At 44.4% G+C, this 18,467-nt stretch overlaps 1 protein-coding gene across 11 annotated transcripts in view, besides 5 other annotated features; it reads left to right on the forward strand.

The window, feature by feature from the left end:
• EGFR (epidermal growth factor receptor) overlaps positions 1-18,467 on the forward strand; it is a 192,612-nt gene that overhangs the window by 98,725 nt on the left and 75,420 nt on the right. The window contains exon 1 of one of the 11 annotated variants that reach the window (XM_047419952.1): positions 1-16,688. This exon is cut by the window's left edge and continues 22,210 nt beyond it. The exons of the other annotated variants lie outside the window; for them this stretch is intronic. The gene's annotated coding sequence lies outside the window, so the exon portion shown is untranslated. The remainder of the gene's footprint in view (positions 16,689-18,467) is intronic. 11 annotated transcript variants of the gene reach the window in all.
• Positions 12,923-13,002: an enhancer, noted in NCBI's record as "active region_26009". NCBI's record gives its function as "activates an Ori minimal core promoter by ATAC-STARR-seq in GM12878 lymphoblastoid cells {active_cell/tissue: GM12878}" and the evidence as "EXISTENCE:reporter gene assay evidence [ECO:0000049][PMID:35858748]".
• Positions 13,013-13,172: an enhancer, noted in NCBI's record as "active region_26010". NCBI's record gives its function as "activates an Ori minimal core promoter by ATAC-STARR-seq in GM12878 lymphoblastoid cells {active_cell/tissue: GM12878}" and the evidence as "EXISTENCE:reporter gene assay evidence [ECO:0000049][PMID:35858748]".
• Positions 13,478-14,385: an enhancer, noted in NCBI's record as "H3K27ac-H3K4me1 hESC enhancer chr7:55198912-55199819 (GRCh37/hg19 assembly coordinates)". NCBI's record gives its function as "activates a minimal SCP1, AML or CMV promoter by ChIP-STARR-seq in primed H9 embryonic stem cells {active_cell/tissue: H9 hESC(primed)}" and the evidence as "EXISTENCE:reporter gene assay evidence [ECO:0000049][PMID:30033119]".
• Positions 14,899-16,098: an enhancer, noted in NCBI's record as "P300/CBP strongly-dependent group 1 enhancer chr7:55200333-55201532 (GRCh37/hg19 assembly coordinates)". NCBI's record gives its function as "activates an origin of replication core promoter dependent on BRD2, BRD4, P300/CBP, MED14 and CDK7 cofactors, with strong dependence on P300/CBP, by STARR-seq in HCT116 cells {active_cell/tissue: HCT116}" and the evidence as "EXISTENCE:reporter gene assay evidence [ECO:0000049][PMID:35650434]".
• Positions 15,039-16,038: an enhancer, noted in NCBI's record as "H3K27ac-H3K4me1 hESC enhancer chr7:55200473-55201472 (GRCh37/hg19 assembly coordinates)". NCBI's record gives its function as "activates a minimal SCP1, AML or CMV promoter by ChIP-STARR-seq in primed H9 embryonic stem cells {active_cell/tissue: H9 hESC(primed)}" and the evidence as "EXISTENCE:reporter gene assay evidence [ECO:0000049][PMID:30033119]".

Consider the following 18,467-nt stretch of genomic DNA (forward strand, 5'->3'; position numbering starts at 1 on the left):
TGCATATGTGTATGTGATTCTGCAGTCATGGTGAATGACACAGTCAGGGCTGCGGAAAAGCATTGGTAAAGTGTATATTTGAGGCTTCAGAAGTTTGAAAAGGCTAGATTTCCTAGGCCAAAACACTGAAAATTTGCAATTAGAACTTCAGTGCTGATGCTGGGAAGACTGGAGTTAGTTTGAGACATGCACCTGTGCAGAACTGGGCCCCCAGAAAAGGAGAAGGAAGGGAATCCAGACCAGAGTAGGGCCTGACACCACTCAGACTCGGCGTGTCTATAAATTAGAATTGCGTTACAATTACACTTTGACATTTTAGTGGTTTTTAAAGTGCCCAGCACAAGTTAATTTTTCATTAATGAATCCTTTATTCATAAAATGCTTAGATGGAGATTACCCTTTTGAGCATTTTGCCAGTGCTTCTGAAATTAATGGGGACCTCCTGTTGGAGGACACAGTCTGTTGCAATAGGTGACCACTGCTCTGAATCTATGTCACCTCTCCAGGACCACGGGCACAACCATCACCTGAGGCATGTTGGAGATGCAGATGGTCAGGCCCTCCTAGAATCTCAGAATCTGCATTTTAGCAAAGTCCTGGGTAATTCCTATGTCCATTGGAGTTTGAGAAGCACTGGTAATCTCAAATACTTTAAAAGATTACTAGAGTAAGATAGGCTCAGTAGGTACCTGAAGGCACCATCCCAAAGACCAGAGTGGTAGAAGCAGGTGGACCAGCCTCTGAACACATTTCTCCCCCACTCCCCGGCTGTGTGGAAGGTTGCCACCTTTGGGGTAGTCATTCAACAAACACGTGTCAACTGTCCACTATGTGTCAGGCCACCACTGGGCACTGGCTGTGGCTAGCTGGATAGACACCATTTCTGCCCTCCAGAAATGTCATGTCCACTGGCACATGACAAGTCACTAAGTCATTCAGAGCCATGGGTGACAGCTCCAGGGGCCGACAAAGGAGCTGTGATCTCACAGATCCACAGAGAAGTGTCCCAGGGCGGGCGGGAACCAGGACTGCACAGGGAGGGGTGAAGTGACACATAAGAAGTCAGCCCATCAGCCTGAAATGCTCCCCCAAATCTTCCCATTCAGTGTTTTCTCAGTAGCAAACTCGTGGGAAAATTGGTTATTTTACTTAAAAAACTCATACTAGAAAGCTAGTTTAACTTTAAAAATAAATTTTAAAAACATTTTTATTAACAAATCCTACCTTTCCTCCAAAGTCAAGGAGAAAAGAATAGAAGTGAACAATGGACCAAGTAAGCCTAAAACTCTGCTCTTTCCCCTGCTCATTTTACAGTTCAAGTGCCATTCAATTTATCCTGGCAAGAAGAGGAAGGCATCATCAAGACCTTAATTTTCTAATACATCTGATCTGAGAAGAATGTGAAAGCTATAAAATTAATTTTTGATCAATAACTACAGGCCTTTTGAGAGAGTGCCCTCCTAATGAATTGAGTACCTATTTCTCCATACACAGTGTCTATCATGACCTACAAACCCTTTTCCCATGAGGTGTAACAGAGAGAGATTACAGCCTTGGAACTGGATGTCAGACTCTCCTGGTTTAAGACAATAAGCCATGACATAGAGCCTGAAACCAACACAATCTTCCGAGTGGTTCCAGAAACATATAGGGGATAATGTTGGCTCTGATGCTGTACATCCCCAACAACCATCAACTATTTGGAAACTAGAATTTCAGCATAATTGGAGTTGGTGTTACCCTAGCAAATGCTGTGGGAAGAGAGTCTCACTGTGTATCTTCTCCTGTTTAAAGCCTGAATTTGTTCAGAATGTAATATCTCTGTTTAGCCACTCTACTGAAACTGATCTAGGAAATGTTCAAAAAAAGGTATCCCAAGGATCCCTTTGTAGCTACATCTGTGGGATTCCCCTCGCTCTGGCGTGGCCTGGCCCCTCTGCATTTGACAATACGGTCCTATGCTTTTGTCTTCCTGGGCTGCGTGAACCCACCCTGCCCTGGTTCACCTCTCCTCTTGACCCATCCTTATCAGTGTCTTGAAAGGTCCTTCTATTGGAGGACACATTCTGTTGCAGCAGGTGACCACTGCCCCAAATCTGTTTCACCTCCCCAGGGCCATGGGCACAACCATCCCTGGAGTGTGTTAGAGATGCAGTTGGCCAGGTCCTCCAAAATCTCAGAATCTGCATTTTTGCAAAGTCCTGGGTAACTCCTATGTCCATGAGAGTTTGAGAAGTACTGGTCTCATGAGTTCCTGACATACAAATAGTGCTGAGGCCAGTATGCTGACTGGGTAGCCAGATACAAGTGAAAACCTTCCTGTTTTTTGCAAACCTGGATGGACCCGAGGCCGCTGACGTGGGCCAGGACAAGCTACTCTTTTTCAGTGTTTCTGTTGCATCGCTGTGTCTCTCTGTGATCAGGTGCTGCCCTCCCTGGCAGGAGGACTGCAGACAGGATGACCAAGAGCACTCTACACAGCCTGCTCTCCAGTGTTGGGGGACGCCACCCACCCTCGTGGTTCCTGTTCATCTGCCTACACGTGGAGGGCCCAAGAGGGCTAATATGTGACTATCTCCACTTCCTGGTACCCTGTGTGAATAACTTCACTTACTAAAGGGATGTTGAGCAACTTTATTAATAATGAAGAAAGCACTTTGGTTTGACAAATAATCACTCCATTTTTTCATTTGAAAGTTAACTCTTGTTAGTAGAGAAAGCAATGTATTACAACCACAAGGACGTTTACATGGAAATGAACCATCTGCAAAGCATCCCCCATTTTCCTTTTAAATCAGCCAATGGGTGGTGGTGGGAGAAATATTCACCAGAGTATTTAACATCTATCCCCCTTCCTAGACTGTCAGCTCCATCCGGGCGGAGACTGTTGGTATCTCCACAGCACACACAGGGCCTGGCACACATCCGGGGCTCAGTGAGCACTTGCTGAATGGTGAACAGATTAGCTCTCCTGGGAACGTTGTTGACACATCTCATAACACTGGTTTGGAGTGGAGGGCATTCATCGGGCTGCATATTCCTATTTTTAATTGTATTCTCCACTGGTTACAGCACCTACAGTTATAAAGACATTGTTAACATTGCTTATAGGAAGACATTTGATGGAAATGAGTCCAAAGGCATTACGGTTAGAAACTGGCCAGGTGTCATTTTTGAGAGATTAGATAACTGTTTTCCGGTAGAGTGAATTGCCTGTTTGTTGCAAGTTGGGACTTTGCTGGGCTGGTTTACAGGGCCAAGGGGAAAGAGATAAGTGGATCTTCTAGTGAGAGGTCATCTGTTTTGAAAGCCTGGAAGATTCCATGAACTAAATCCAAGTCTTACAACACAGGGAAGTGTGTCATACTGTGCAGGGATGAAGTCTCCAATTTAGCATGAAAACAAGAGCTCCTCACACTGTCCTCTTCAGAAAGCCCATACAATCCAAACTTCTGAATGCTTAGCTGCTTACAACCATACATAGATTGAGGGATAAAACTCTGATATGGAAGAGAAGGTAAACATTTTTTGGCAGACATTCCCAGGAAAAGGCGGCTCTCTTCTCTCATTGCTGCTGCTCTTTCAGAATCCATTTCAACAGAGGAGGAGTCAATGGGAGCCCCGTGCCTCTGGCAGATATCATATGGCGTTTCAGTGGCATTGTGTGTTACCCTTCTTAGGTAACAGCTCAGCCATTAGAAGAATGTCCTACACACCTTCTCATTTTCTGTGATGAGAGGAATGTGAGGTACTGCCCTTCGAGAGCTGTCATTTGTCCTAGTAGCCAGCAGCGTGACTGTGCTGTCTTCTGCTCTGTCTCCCTGTCAGCCTTCTGCCCAGCCACCACCACTATAGTTTTGTTCTCTCCATTGGAACTCCTGGTTCAGAGAATTACCATAAAAAACAGACCCCTAGACATACAACACTCTATCACATAATGGTGACTTTGTCTTCTATTTTGGATTACTGAGCTTTCTTGGGTAACTTCCACTAAATCGAAGTTAATATTAGAAGAACTTCCTCTTACTAGAATCGAAAAGCATTTAAGTGATGCAGTCAAGTTTGTACCATAAGTAATTCAGTCATTTAACAAATATATATGGCCTCTGTGCGACAGTGACCTTGACTGGGAATGAAGCTGTCCCATGTGGGGCCTGTTCTTCAAAGGCAGTTCCCTGCTGCCCAGTTCAGTCCAGTGGATCTGGGCATCTCTCTTTAATCCGCATTAGGGGCTCTTTACTGATTCTTCACTATCCAAAAAGACTTGGAGGGGAGACCTGAGCCCACTTCTGGAAGGAAATGATAACAATTTATTTAGATAATCTTTGTGCAACAAGTCAATTCACTGAAGAGATCTGCTCTCTAGGAGCCTCTGTGACCCCACCATAACTGGGAAGGCTCTACCTCTCCAGTCTTCGGGCCACATTTCTCTCTGGCCTGCTGTCTTCCCAGCACTCTCAGCCTTGCTCATGGAGCACTCTAGTCCTCCGTCGACCTTGGCCTTTGGTAACGTGATTTTTCACCTGGCAGCTCCCATCTGGTCTCACTCCCTCTTTTTGTCCAGTCTGCATGACACAGCCTCACATCGTTAGTGTTCCCTCACTCCCCTCTTACTGCCCAACCTGCAAAGTCCATGCCTGGGCCAGTGCAGCATGTGTCCTCAATGGGCTGCTGGTGGCAGTGGGGGGAACCGCACAGCCACGCTGTGTGCTGCTGAAGAAATGCACAGCCTCCTACCCTCGCCCTCAAGAGGCAGCCATGGCTGCGCATTTCTGCCCTTCTGAGCTCCGCTCACTTTTGGCAGCAGCCGTTCCAACCTGCATGGGATCTTCACTCTCTCACAGATGTGCTGACTCCTCCTGCTGCCTCCCCTCTCTGTGCCTTCTCACTCTCTGTTCCCTTTGCCCTTTCTCCCCTTTTCTCCTCTGCCTACCTCCAAGCCATCCATCACAGGACAGCTCAAGCATCAGATCCTCTGGGACACTTTCCTTAGTTGTTCAGTCTGATGAGGTGTCCCTCATCCTCTCTTAGCTGAAAATCAGCAGCTGCCTCAACTTCTTTTCCAGCATGTCTCATGAGTATTGCCACAACAGCATCTGTCACAATGTGGGGTAGTGGCTGACTTGCTTTTCTGCCATTCAACTGAGTTCCCTCAGTGCTGGGGCCAGCGTGCAGTGTCTTGTATTCAGTATATAGCTGATTAATTGATGAATTGATTAATTAATGGTTCACACTAGCACAGTGCAACCTTCAATGCAAAGATCTCATCAAAATAATTCACATGGTGGGATATTTTAGAAGGATGACCAGGCTAGTTTGTAGTAAGAAAAAATCAACAAGACTAGGTCAGGAATTCTTTTTTTGTCTACAGGCTTGCTATAGAAGATATTGAAAATCATCTACCTAATTACCTTTATTTTATCAGGTTGTGTATTAAATATCACGTCTGGGGGAAGAAAATGTGATATGTGATTACAGACCTTTCCTGGTACAACATAGTACGTTTCAGATTAACTCAAGGTATTGTGGTGATATTGCGGTCAAAGCCAGGTGATTAAAGAGTCATTCTTTGAAACAAATATCTGTGCAATCAATTAAGAAATTAATTTGCAAATTTTATTTGCTTAGAGTAATTGATATATCATTCCTTTTACAAACAAATATAAAGAAAACTTAACTAAAAATACTGCATATCTCTTTCAGATTATATATCCCAGAAAGGATATATTTTTCTCCTTTCTGGTCTTCCTTTTTGGTGTAGCATCTGTAGGAAATGCATTTCTTCATAGCTAAGTGTACCTCCTTGTGAAATATCTTCAGAGTCTACTGGTGCACATAAGCAATTGCTGGCAGCAGCTTGAGGGTCTCCATCTCACATTTATCATATGCCTTATTGCATGAGGCTTTGCAAGAGGAGGTCTAGAGCTACAATATCTCATGGATATGAATGTCAATTCAAATCCCAGTGGCAGTTTATGAGGGGGAAAGCCTAGAAGAGAAGAAACCTAGAGGAATCAAGCAGGAGGGGAGAGTAATAAAAGACTAGAGCAGCAGGTTTTTCTTAACTCAAACTAGAATTAAATCTCTGTGTGTGTGTGCATGTGAATGTGCCCGTATGTGCATGCATGCACGTGTGTAAATGGATGTGTGTGTGTGTGCATGTGTGTGCAAGTAAGTGTGTATACGTGTGTGGGCATGTATTGTGTACATGTATGTGTGTTTTATGCATCTGTTTGCAAGTATGTGTGTATGCACATAAAAGTGTGAATGTACATGTGTGCTTGGTGTATGTGTGTGTATTAATGTATGCGTGTAGTTCTAGAGTCTAGTTAGAGAAAGTGCATAAAGAAATAGGGAAATTAACAAGAAAGCTATAGCTTAAATTATAGGAAAAACTTTTCTCCCTATCAGTCATGGTTTTAAAATGTTCAGACTTGATATGTTTCCCAGTGCTATTGTCAGAAAATGTCCCTATGACATTCCATACTACTTCAATCAAATCTAAAACCTTTGTTCCAACATGTTTTATTGATATGAGTATATTTCAAATTTCTACCAGGTTTTTGGAGAGGTATTTTGGCCATAAAATTGACTAAATTATTCAAAATAAAAAATGAATAAGCCTGGGCCAAGGCTTGGAGACTTGCTTAACTCAGTTCTTAAATTTTCAGATTTTCAAAATTACAAATTTAAGCTCTAAAATCATGGTGCTGTGTATGATATTCTTTGATTGCAACTTATGGTTGAAAAACTATAGAGGGCTTTATGCTAAGAGTTGTGGATCTTAGGATTTTCATGAAATCTGCATTATCATCATCTGCAAGTTTAGATGGGGCATAACTGATCCAAAGGATGGATCCCTCGGGGGCAATTCAACTGGCTGATTCCAGCCAAGATGACAACAGTCAGGATCCGTTCCCTTCTGATCATCCATTGGGTGCCCTGATTTCCTCTACAGCCCTAGCTGAAAGACCAGACACTATCTCAGGCTGGCTGCCCCACATGCCTTGCTCCACACCAAATTCACAGTCTATAAACCTGAGCCTCCAGTGCTCCTACTACCATACTCACTCGAACATTCCCGATTCTGACCTGGAGATGTCAACAGCTACTTGATGCCACTCTCTTCTATCTTTCTGTAGCTAAGCCATCCCCAAGTTTGTCGATTCACCCTCTTTAACCCCTGTCGGGGTGTCCATTGTGCCCCTTCACCCTGCCATCTCCCTGGTGCACTGTTTTGCAAAGTTCAGCATACATGAGCGTCACCTGGGAACCTTAATAAAGTGCAGATGTTGATTCAGCAAATCTGGGATGCCCTCGGGCTGCATTTCCAGCAGGCTCCTGGGGATGTCCCCGCTGCTGTGCTGCAGATGACACTCTCAGTGGTGGGACTCCAGGCTCTGCTGTCGCCTCCTAGGGGTTTCTCCACACTCCCTGGAGGCCTAATGGGCCCTTCTCCACATGGCAGTAAGATCTGTTTTTGTGTTTGTGTTTCAAGTTGGGAGAAGGAGATTATTTAATACTAAAATGTGCAACATGGGATTGAGAAAACTAATTATTAGTCATAAGTTGAGTATGCAACATTGAAACCACATGCTTTAAAAAATTATAAGAAAAAATCATAGTATTTGAAAGTTACAAGCTATTATGGCTAACTCCATTTATCTCAGTTAGAGAAGAAGAGTCACCTGTCACCAGGGCACTGCCAGAAGCCAGGCTCATTTCCAACAGCACTGGGTGCTCCAGCTTTGGGGTGCCAGCTCCTCCCATAAAGCAAACACATACCTAGGGATGATATTTCTTTGCAAGGGCTCTGCCCTACAGCTTGTACATCTCAAGAAGTTATGTAATTAAACTGTCTGTTTTGAGAAAATTGTAGATTCACACATACTAGCTGTAAGAAATGATGCGGATAAATCCAGCGTACCAGCTTTCCCCACGGAGACGTCTTGCAGCGTCACAGCCAGGATGAGGCATTGACCCAGGCGAAGTCCAGAGCACCTGTGCGCTACAGGGCCCCTTGCACTGTGCTGTCACAGACACGCCCACTTCCAGATGCCATCTAGGACCCCCTCCAAAAAGCAGAGGCATTCTTAAAAACACACATCTGCACATGTTCCTCTTCATTTGAATCTGTCAGTGGCTTCTCAGTGCCTTTCAAATGAAATCTAAAGTCCTTACAAGCCTTGCAGCAGGAACCTCTCCATCCCACTTCCCCTCACACTCTCAGCTTCATCTCTGCTAGGCTCTGTTCAGCCAGGCAGCCTTTCACAGTCCCTCTCCTCCTGCCCTGCCAGGAAGGTCCCCTGCCCCCAACTCTTCCCCACATGTGGCGGGGCCCCGCTTGTCCTTAGAAGCCCAGCTGAACTGCTTCCTGAAGGAACCCCTCCAGAACCTCTCAGACCAGGTCAGGTTTCTGCACTCTTAGATCATCCCCATGGCATAATCACAGTTGTGATGTTGTGATGATTCAGTGAATGTCTGTCTCCCCACTGGATGGTAAGCTTCCTGAGGGCAGGAACAGCATTGGTTCCAGTCAATGCTATGTCCCAGGACTGTTCGTTTTTGCACATACTAATCCTAAAAGGACGATGACAACAGCAACCACTTACATGACCTAGATGCTCTTCTGGGTGTTGTGCAAATATTAACAATTTAATCCTTGCAACAATCCACGAGGGAGGCATTCTTCTACTCCCACTTAACAGACAAGGACAGTGAAGCTAGTAAAGAGAAGTCATTTGCCCAAGGGGACCCCACTACTGTTGGCAGAGCTGGGTGCAAACGCAGGCTTGTGAAGCCAGGACCCATGCATTCAAAGACCATGCCAGGTGCCCCCACTGCACACCTCATCCCCACATACCAGTGAGGGGGAGAGAAATGCTCCTGCACTGCCTCTGATTAACTGCTTTCCTAGAAGTCACACATATAAAAGGGATTTAATTCTAGTGGGATTGAATCTCAATAGTTTCCTTATTAGGTTGATTTCTGTTAATAGTTTAAGTACTGGATATACATGAATTAGAAAATCTAGATTATTAGCAAATGCAAACTATAAAGTATTTTATAAATGTTATCTTGTTTGTCAGGGGATGAGTGAGATATTCATTATACAAAAAGTAGTGTGGATTTTGAGGTAGAAGGTTTACTAAGGATCATACCGTAGTATGAAATAGCCACAAACATTCAGTGAAACCAAACACCCCCGCTTAACCTCAAACTAACACTAAATAATAAGGAATAGACTTGGGGGCAGTGCAAGTGTATTTCTAATGGTGAAAACCATTCCCCAGTGAAAACTAATGTACCATCTAGTTAATAAGAGCTCCTCTGACCCACGCACATCAATACTTACATCCCAATGGTGATGTGACATTTTGGGTTTTGTATTTCTTTTGCAAATTGAGCTAGCATTTTTGATGAGTGGCAGGGCTCTGCTACCCAACCTTTGGACAGTTTCCAAGCATAAAATCACAATTCCAGATAATTCTGTCACAAAGATCTGGGTCTCATTAGGAAGGAGAGGAAGCTGGGAGATGATCCAGTCCAACCTCCCCCAAACCAAACATCACGGCCTTCTCAGTTGTTTCACCAACCATCTAAATGTTTTAGTAATTCTAAAAATTGATGCGCTTTTTCCACGAAAGGAAGTGTTACCACATTTTCCAAGTGGGAGGCATCTATATCCTTACTCCTTCATCCTCTCCTTCCCACCCCCTCACCCCCCACCACCCACACAACATCTGCAATTCTTAAACTAAAGCACAAATTGTTACAAAAGTTAATTGCACTTTCAAAGGAATGCTTGTATAGAAACTTTCTCGGCTTCAAGGAAAAATAATACGCTTTGAATGGCTGTTCAACAGCATAGAAATTAGCTGAGTAGAAGGCACTCATATAGCCATTAGGACCAATCCTTTCTGCCGCCAACACCCCCCTTATAAAGACTTGACAGTGGGCCAGAATAAACAACTTCAGGATGAATTCAGTTGAGACACAAAGTACACACTTCCAGTTTTTCCCTTCTCTGGTTACTGGCCTCAATAACCAGGCAGTCAACTTAAAAAGAAAAACAAAAGCTTGCTTCAGATTACAGATTGCAGACTTCTTATAATATGTCCATTTCACCAGGCCCCGCTCTCAGCCCCGGGAAAGGCCACTGGAAACCACCTCACATGGTAGGGCCTTGCGGGAGCCAGTAATAACCTTATCTCCGTCAACATGTTCTGTCAGATTGAATGGGGCAGCCAGAGAAGCCAGAGTTGGCACAGGAACCAAAACAAAGGCTTCCCATCCTCCTGGAGTGAGCGGTTGAGCCTGGATTGGTGCTTAGACCTATAATGGGTGCAAGCAGCGTTCATTCATAGTGGCTTTCTAGACCCAGGGACTTGGCCCCAGCCCTGCTGCTCCACTCCTCTTCTTGCTTCATTACCACGAGTCTCCTAGACCACCGAACGATGCCTGCATTTGAAAGACACTTCTGCTGATCAAAGCAGCTGATGTGTCCCTTTGCGGTTCATTTCTAATTGTCCCCAAGGAGGAGAAATTCAAATAGTTTATTACTGAGAGTTAAAGAAATCCACTGAAATATTCTTTGGTCTAAAATTACTGTCATGGCGGAGCAGCTTCACCTTAGTCATTGCCCTTAAATATGAAAGCTATTTAAGAAAGTTTGCCCTTAAATATGAAAGCTATTTTAAAAAGTTTAATGAAAGAAGAGAATCACAAAACATTTTCAAAAAGCAAAAGAAAACCTAAGAGAAAAGTTGAAAGTAGGAATTTTTTAAAGAATATACGACGTGTGTTCTGTGACTCACCCCTGCAAGTTATTTGTGTGTATTCCCTTGCATAGTAATTAATAATGAAGCAAAGCATGGCAATGATATCTTTTCTTGTCTAGTATTCTAGAAGACTCCATGTTTTTGGAAAATATCACTCTAGTTAGATCTCAAATATATTCAATCAGAAAATGGGTTTTCTACAAGATTCTATATCTGTAGTCAATAGCAAATATAATTCTATTAAGCTAGTAGGATGTGATAGGAAACTAAAACCTAGGGGAGACCAAAGCAAGGAAAAATACTTCCTCATCCAAACTTGAGAGCAATTTACCGTCAGGCCTACTATTAATAGATGGAATACAGATTCCATTTTCATTACTCAACTGCCATATTCATTATTACACTGTACAGAAAAGGGAATCACATCTGTTGAAAACTTATATATGATGTTCATGCATGCATTCCAGTAATTCAACAATTTTTATTTATCTTTTTATTGCTTGCTAATTTTTCAAAATAATAAGCTAAAGAAAACAAAATGTTTGTGCTGTTCTCAGATGACATGTTATCTCTTTAAAGGACAAAATGTGCTGTGAAATAATAGAATGCTTTCAGCACTCAAGTGTGAGTGAGTGCTCATACATGAGAGAAAGCCGTGGGGACTACAGAAGCCAAGAAGCAGATCTAGCTGGGGAGGCCTTTGCAGAGGATGTAGTTGTGTGGAGAGGCCACACACGTGGAATTCCCAGGAGGGCTGTGGAGGCGGGGAATCTGCAGGAAAGCACTGGGGTGAGAAACGTGATGAGAAACAATTATTGTCTTAAAATATCTGCAGGGCTGTAAGGTAGAGAAGCAATACGTTGCATCTGTGTTAAGTCAAACAAAATTATCAAGGGACTGGTTTCAGCTTAACATAAGGAACAATTATGTGATAGGGTTGTCAATAACAAGAGTAGACTGCTTCTTCACACACTCCTAGTCACTCAGAATGGTCCAGGAGGAGTGGACAACCATTTGGTAGAGTATGGGAAGGCAGGGGCCCTGGGTGGGAGTGGTGAGGGTAGGGAGTGAGTATCCCAATCTAGAAGTAAATTGTGCCCAGCACGGAGCTGCAACACTGCCCTGCACACAAACACACACAAATAACAATCCCCAGCCCCTGCATTTCCCTCTCCGGTTTCAGGACCTTGTATCTTACTTCAATTCCTTTATTTAGCTGATGATGAAATAGGAAGAGCTTAGCACTAAGAAAATCCTTTTGGAGTTTGGCCTTGGGGGAAAATGAATCACTCCAACCAGGTCTGTCTTCTAGAAAGTATAGGATGAAAGGGCTCCTCATCACATACTTCCTGACCTCCTGCTAGGCCTTTCCCTAAAACAGGGGCTGGCAAAGCACAACCTGTGGGTCACGCCTAGCCTGCCACCTGTTTTTGCAAATAAAGTTTTATTGGAGCATGACTATATGTATTTGCTTACAGTCTGTGGCTGCGTTCACACTATCCCAGCAGAGTTGAATAATTGGGACAGGGACCATATGATGGGTGAAGCTGAAAACATTTACTCTCTGGCTGTATTCAGAGGAGGTTTACTGAGCCCTTCTCTGAGACATGGCAAGCGCTGCTTCAGGCTCATGCTTCACTAGATTCAGGCCTGGGGCAGTAAAGAGCCAGCTCAGGATAGCACTCCCGACTCACTCATTTTTTCAGGCAGGGGAGCCATCTAATGTCAAGTGCCTACGTGCAGGAACTGGTCTGTTAATTAGCAGCTCTCCTCATGGAAGGGATAATATATTCTAGAAACAGGAGTGCGGCCCTATTGCAAGAATGTCCTGAGCCAAAATTAAGATTCTTCTATGGCAGAAACTTGGCTGGGGCTTCTCCTGAGTTAACTTGGTAGTTGTTAGTGATTTTTGAGTCAGTTTTTCCTTGTCAACGACCCCAGGAATGAGTTTGGGATTACAGGGTAGCCAGGGAAAGGGAAAGCTTCACGCCCGCCCCCGGGACAAGGTCTGTCTTCACACTGCTACATCCCTTCACCCACTTTAAAATGAAACTTAAAAGGAGGATTTCAGTTGAGTAGGAAGTGAGAAGAGGGCTCATTTTAAAACAAGCGTTAAATGAAAACCCACACACACTCAGAGCACACAAATCCAACCACGCTTACAAAACCATCACAGAGGGTCAGGCGAGGCCCTTTTCTAAATGAAAAAGAACAGGGGTGGAGACTGTTCTGAGAGCATGCTGGGTTCCCTGAAGGGAATTCTCAGCTGTATGTGCCCCGCACAGGATCCCTGCTAGACACAAGGCCAGCTGCCTTCCTTTCAAGCCGCAGACGCATCCCTGTGTCCAGGCGGGCTGGTCAGCTGCGGTCAGCACCAGCTTCCCCGCTCCATGGTGAGGTCATCACAACATGTGAGCAGGAGGGCAGGCCGGCAACCTCTGAGTGCTTAGAGAAAGGGACGGGATTCCTCCTGTGCAACCCCTCTAGTCTCACTCAGACTCAAGTCTGACTAAGGGGCCAGGTGCTTTGACCAGGGACTCTCCCCTCTCACTTCCCTCCCAGGAGTCACAGGTACATGAGTCCTTGTTTTACAAATGAAGAAAACAGACCCAACATGATTAAGATGTTGCCTTCATAGGGGTGGCACCAGGATTCCAAACCATGGACTCCACTGAGCCCAGTGCCCACTGACATGTGCCAGTAACAGTGCAGCTGCCTGTGGTTCTGTCGACTAAACTGCCGGCAGAGGCTGGCTTTCCACCTTCTTTTTTTTTTTTTCACTCTTCAAACACTTTATGACATGAACATAAACTACTGGCTGCATCGTTCTGCTGACAACATGACATGTTTCTATAACTTGAAAAAAGCAAGCAGTGGACTGCTCATTGGTAAAATTGAGTCAGTAATCTTTTAGGAAGGTTATTTTTCTTCCTTTTACTGCTTCTCATCTGTTCCCCGCAGTAAAGAGGACAAGATGACGACGACTCAGGGAACACCTCCAGCCTGAAGCAGCACCATGCGAGCTTAGACCTTAGGGTCGGCTTAGAAACCACAGGCGGGGCGGCTTGGGCCCCTCGGACACTCCCTCTCGAAGCTGCTTCTCCCCAAGCTACCCCAAAGGCACTGAGCGCCCTCTGCCCCCCAGCAATTCAATTCACTGGCTGTCCTGCTCCTGTCAGTACTGAGAGTTGCATGTTTGACCCTCGGGGGAAAAGTCCAGAGGCCCTGGGGTGTCCAGCATGCTCTGAGGTCCCTGCTGCTGACCCCTTGCGCTGTCAGCATTCAGAGACATTCACACAGCACAGCCTCCCAGGCTAACAGCTGTCATGGAACAGTGGAGCAGCTAGACGTGGCCATTCTGTGGCCCAGTGCTGCAGAGGTCAAAGGGACAAGCGCAGGGAGCATCTTTGCTTTCAGAAAAAAAAAAAAAAAAAAGAAGCACACTGGTGCACTGACCTGCTCCTGGTGTCTTTGTGATTGCTCTTTTCTTTCGATTTTTGGTTGTCTTTTTTTTTTTGAAAGAGGGGCTTTTATGCTTTTTTCCTAATGTTCATGGGTAAACCAATGTAAATGTGTGTATGTTTATAGAGATGGCTTTAAATCGCAATTCTGCAGTAGAGATTGATTTTTTAAAAAACATGGGTAAAAATTGAAGAAAAATTTTAAAAGAACATTTAAACCATCTTGGGCTAGGGGTGGATATGCACCACCCCACGGAAGCCAAACAAAATCTCTCTGCAGATAAACATTTGCAAAAAGAATTTCCAATCCCAATTTTTGAGTCAGAGATCTTTTATTTCCTTGCAAATTACATATCTGTTTCAGGATTTTTGACTATAAGAAGAATGAATGAAGATGTGTTTCTTACAGATAACTATGAACAAACCAGGAAGGATAATAACTTGTATCCCCCAATTCGAATCCAGAGGATGGGAAGGCATAAAAAAAAGAAATGGAAGAAACTTTATTTTTAGTGGTAAATGGTGGGACTATGTATTTTACGTATGGTGAAGTCACCAAGCCCAACACTTGGCACTTGTAGGCAAGGTAGTCTTCTAATCTGAATGTGAAGTATTATGTTTTCATTTGCTTGGTAATGAGGAATATTGGTGCTTTCGTCCCAGTTCTCGAGCTGACTGACTTCTCTTTCTGACGTGTGTTCCTTTAGCACACCTCTACACTGCATGGCTCTGAGATGTCCTGTGACTGTTTCATGTGTAAAGTTGCCTCCCCAAAGGACTCACATATTCCTTCAGGGCAGTGAGTACTTCTGATTCATCCTTAGCAGCTACCTTCGCGCTACTTTACTAGATATGTTGTAGTTGAATTAATGAACAAAAGAACAAGCAACTTTGGTGCCTGGTGTGCATCTCAGAGCAGGGTGGAGTGAGCCTGGCCAAAGGGTCATCATGCAACCTCTGTGGCTGACTCCATCTGGCCACGGAGCTTCTCAGCCATGCTTGGTATTCACATGACTTCTAGGGCGACAGCTCAACCAGCAAATAAACAGCTTCATATGGGAAATATTACTCAGCCTTTGTCATCAAGGAGTGAGTCACGGGCCTGAACTGAATAGAAGATAGAGGAGAAAAGGTGTGTGGACTGGGTGAGACAGCGCCCAGCGAGGTGAACTCCCGGCAGCCCTGCCTGTCTTTACCTGCACATCACCTTGCTAGGGTGCCTTCGGTTGTGAGGGCCTGTCTAGGAAGAGAAGAGTTGCACCCTGGCAGGCAGCACTGAGCTGTCTCATGCAAAGCTGAGGAAGAAAGAGTGAGCTGCCCAGTGAGCCTGCTGGGGTGGTGGAGGCTGGGCTGGGCTGTGCAGTCTGCAGCCCCCAGCAGCCCTTGGCACCTTTCTACTGCCTGGTGCTCACCAGCTCTCCAGTAACAAAGAGGGACGTGAAGTCAGAGGGGAAGGGAGGTAGCACAGGGCAGTCTTGACTTTGAACAAAGAGCTGGCTTCCTGAAGTCAGCTGGCCGGGTTTTGAAGCCGATTTTCCAGCAGTGATCTTTGATGCCAACCCCATTTAGGAATTCTGTATCTCCCCCTACCTTCTACCAGATGTCTCTGAGCTCACCTTTGGTGATAATCATGCAATCTCCGTCATCCCCACGTCCACACTGCCCCATTCTGTCCCACCCCGGGTTCTGTGGTGCTGTCGGCTCCCCAGCGAGCCAGGAAGGGAGAGGCCAGCTCTGCTGGGGCTCCTGCCGCCCTGGCTCTGCACTGCCCTTCTCTGGCAGGTCTGAGGCGCCACTGGAGGAGCCACACGGCCCTGAAGCAGCAAGGCAGATGCCCTGGACACAGTGGAGGCACAGAGTGCAAGCACCGGCCTGGCCCACAGACTTTTGGAGGGGAAGTGGTATTATTCAGTTCAAAAGTATGCCTGTGTGTAAAGAGAGAGCCCCTGAACATGAGTAAGCAAAAGTCTCAGCGCAGAGATTAGACAAGTAGAATGCTGGCCCGAGAGGAGGCGTTTACTCACCCTCTGTCTAGGAAGGAAAGCCAGGCCCAGCACGCTCACTGCTATCTATCCTCTCACACAGAGGGATTTTGAATCGAAGCCAGCATCCTGTCCTTTCTCCAATGTCCCCTGCTCAGGAGTCAGGACTCAGCAAGGCCCACCCCAGCCACACACAGATACAGTTCCAGGACTCAGAACTCAGCGAGGCCCACCCCAGCCACATGCAGGTCCAGTTCCAGGATTCAGGACACAGTGAGGCCCACCCGAGCCACATCCAGGTCCAGTTCCAGGACTCAGGATTCAGTGAGGCCCACCCCAGCCACACACAGGTCCAGTTCCAGGACTCAGGACTCAGCGAGGCCCACCCCAGCCACATGCAGGTCCAGTTCCAGGATTCAGGACACAGTGAGGCCCACCCCAGCCATATCCAGGTTCAGTTCCAGGTAAATCATCTGCCTTCCTCCGTCCAAAAGCCTTGTTTCCTGTGTGTCCTTGTGTTTAAAATGGAAACGTTATGAGAAACTGCCTGCCAGGGCAAAGGGTGCTGCCCGGCACACAGTAGGGACTCAAAATGAAACTATTGTATTGAATACATAACAGATCAACGGGTATTGCTTTCTGAAATCTTTTTTAGCCCAATTTTGTTTCTTATAGTCCAATAACAGGTCAAATTCATTTCTGATTTACTAGCCATTCAGTTGCCCATAAAAAATGGAAAGTGATTTAAGATTATTAGTTTAAAAACCAATGAAGGTAAAACAGTTATCATTGAAGGCACATAGGCAGAAATAGATTGCAATAGTTGCTGCCATGTGAAGCCTCAGTGTCATGCTCCATATTTAGAGAGATCTATGATTTCTGAGGCCCTTTCATGTCCATGATCTCAGTACTGCTCACAACTGCCCTGTGAAATTCGCCGAGCTGGCCCCATGTCAATCAGAGTACACTGAGCACTGAGACCCAGCATGTTGAGATAACTGGCTAGAGATCATCCCATAATGGTACCATCACAATCTTCACACTGTAGAAGTTTGATGATGTCACTGGAAGCATATTCCACAGTCCCTTGTGAACTGGCCTTCCTGTGATCAGAAGCATCAGTGAACTCCCAAGAGGGTGGGAACTCCCAAGAGGTATTCTCACTCTACTTAGTGTATATTTTACAAATCACAAGCTTGGCTTTGGATTCTTTTAATGGCTAGAAGGAGAATCATGGGGTTGGAAGTCCACCAGTTTGGGTATTCTGTTCCCTAACTCAAAATAAAGAGATGTTATTTTCAAGTCTTCTGCTTGTTAACTTAATTAGAGATACATGAGTTTGCAGCTGTGCTGGGCATGCCGCAGCTTGGCATGTTTAGTCCAGAAGGCATATTATAATGTACATGGAAGATTGTCAGAAATTCAAAAGGACTTTTTGAGTATCACATGTGTATTTTCAAGTTCCAATATAGATTCACATTCAGTTTGACAGGTATCTTTGGATGCCTATCAGTTAAGAACTATTTATTAGTTGTGGAATAAAATAGGGTAAAATAAGGAACAACTGAGGAAAAAACATAAAATTTGCTTTGTGAATAAAAGTTGTCTTCAAAATTATGACTTTTTCCATCCCACAAAAGTTTTGATTAAACCCACAATGAAAATTTAAATAAGTGTATTTACTTTGGTTTAACCACTTATTTCATTATGACTCACAACTATAGGTTTTCTAGTTTCCATTATTACAAACTATTGTGTGGTTTAAATCAATTTCATAGACTAGTCTAGTTCTATAGTCACAATTTATAAAATTTTTTTATGTGGTAAATTGAGTGTCTTCATAGATGTACATGATTATTTCTCAATTTTTAAGGAATGTATTTTTTAAGATAGCCTTCTTTAGCCTTCTTTAACACTGATTTTTGTAAATTTTTTACAGATTTTTTTAAATTTTTGGTAATTTTTTAGCATAAAGTAATACATGGTCACTATGGAAAACATAAAAACACAAAAACTATGAAGAGTAAATAAGAAAAACACCCAGAAATTTACCATTCAGAAAAGGTCATTGTTAACAACACGGTGTATCTTCCTCCTGTCATGCTTCCGTGCATTTGAGCACATTTGAGATGTGTATACATGTTCACTTTGAGATTTTAGTATAGCAAAAGAAATGACCGGTCCTGATTCAATGAAACCTCTGGCAAACTCGCTATATTTTCCTTACATATTTTTAAGTTCAT

This window comes from Homo sapiens, chromosome 7 (assembly GCF_000001405.40).
Source record: "Homo sapiens chromosome 7, GRCh38.p14 Primary Assembly".
NCBI classification, from domain to species: Eukaryota; Metazoa; Chordata; class Mammalia; order Primates; family Hominidae; genus Homo; species Homo sapiens.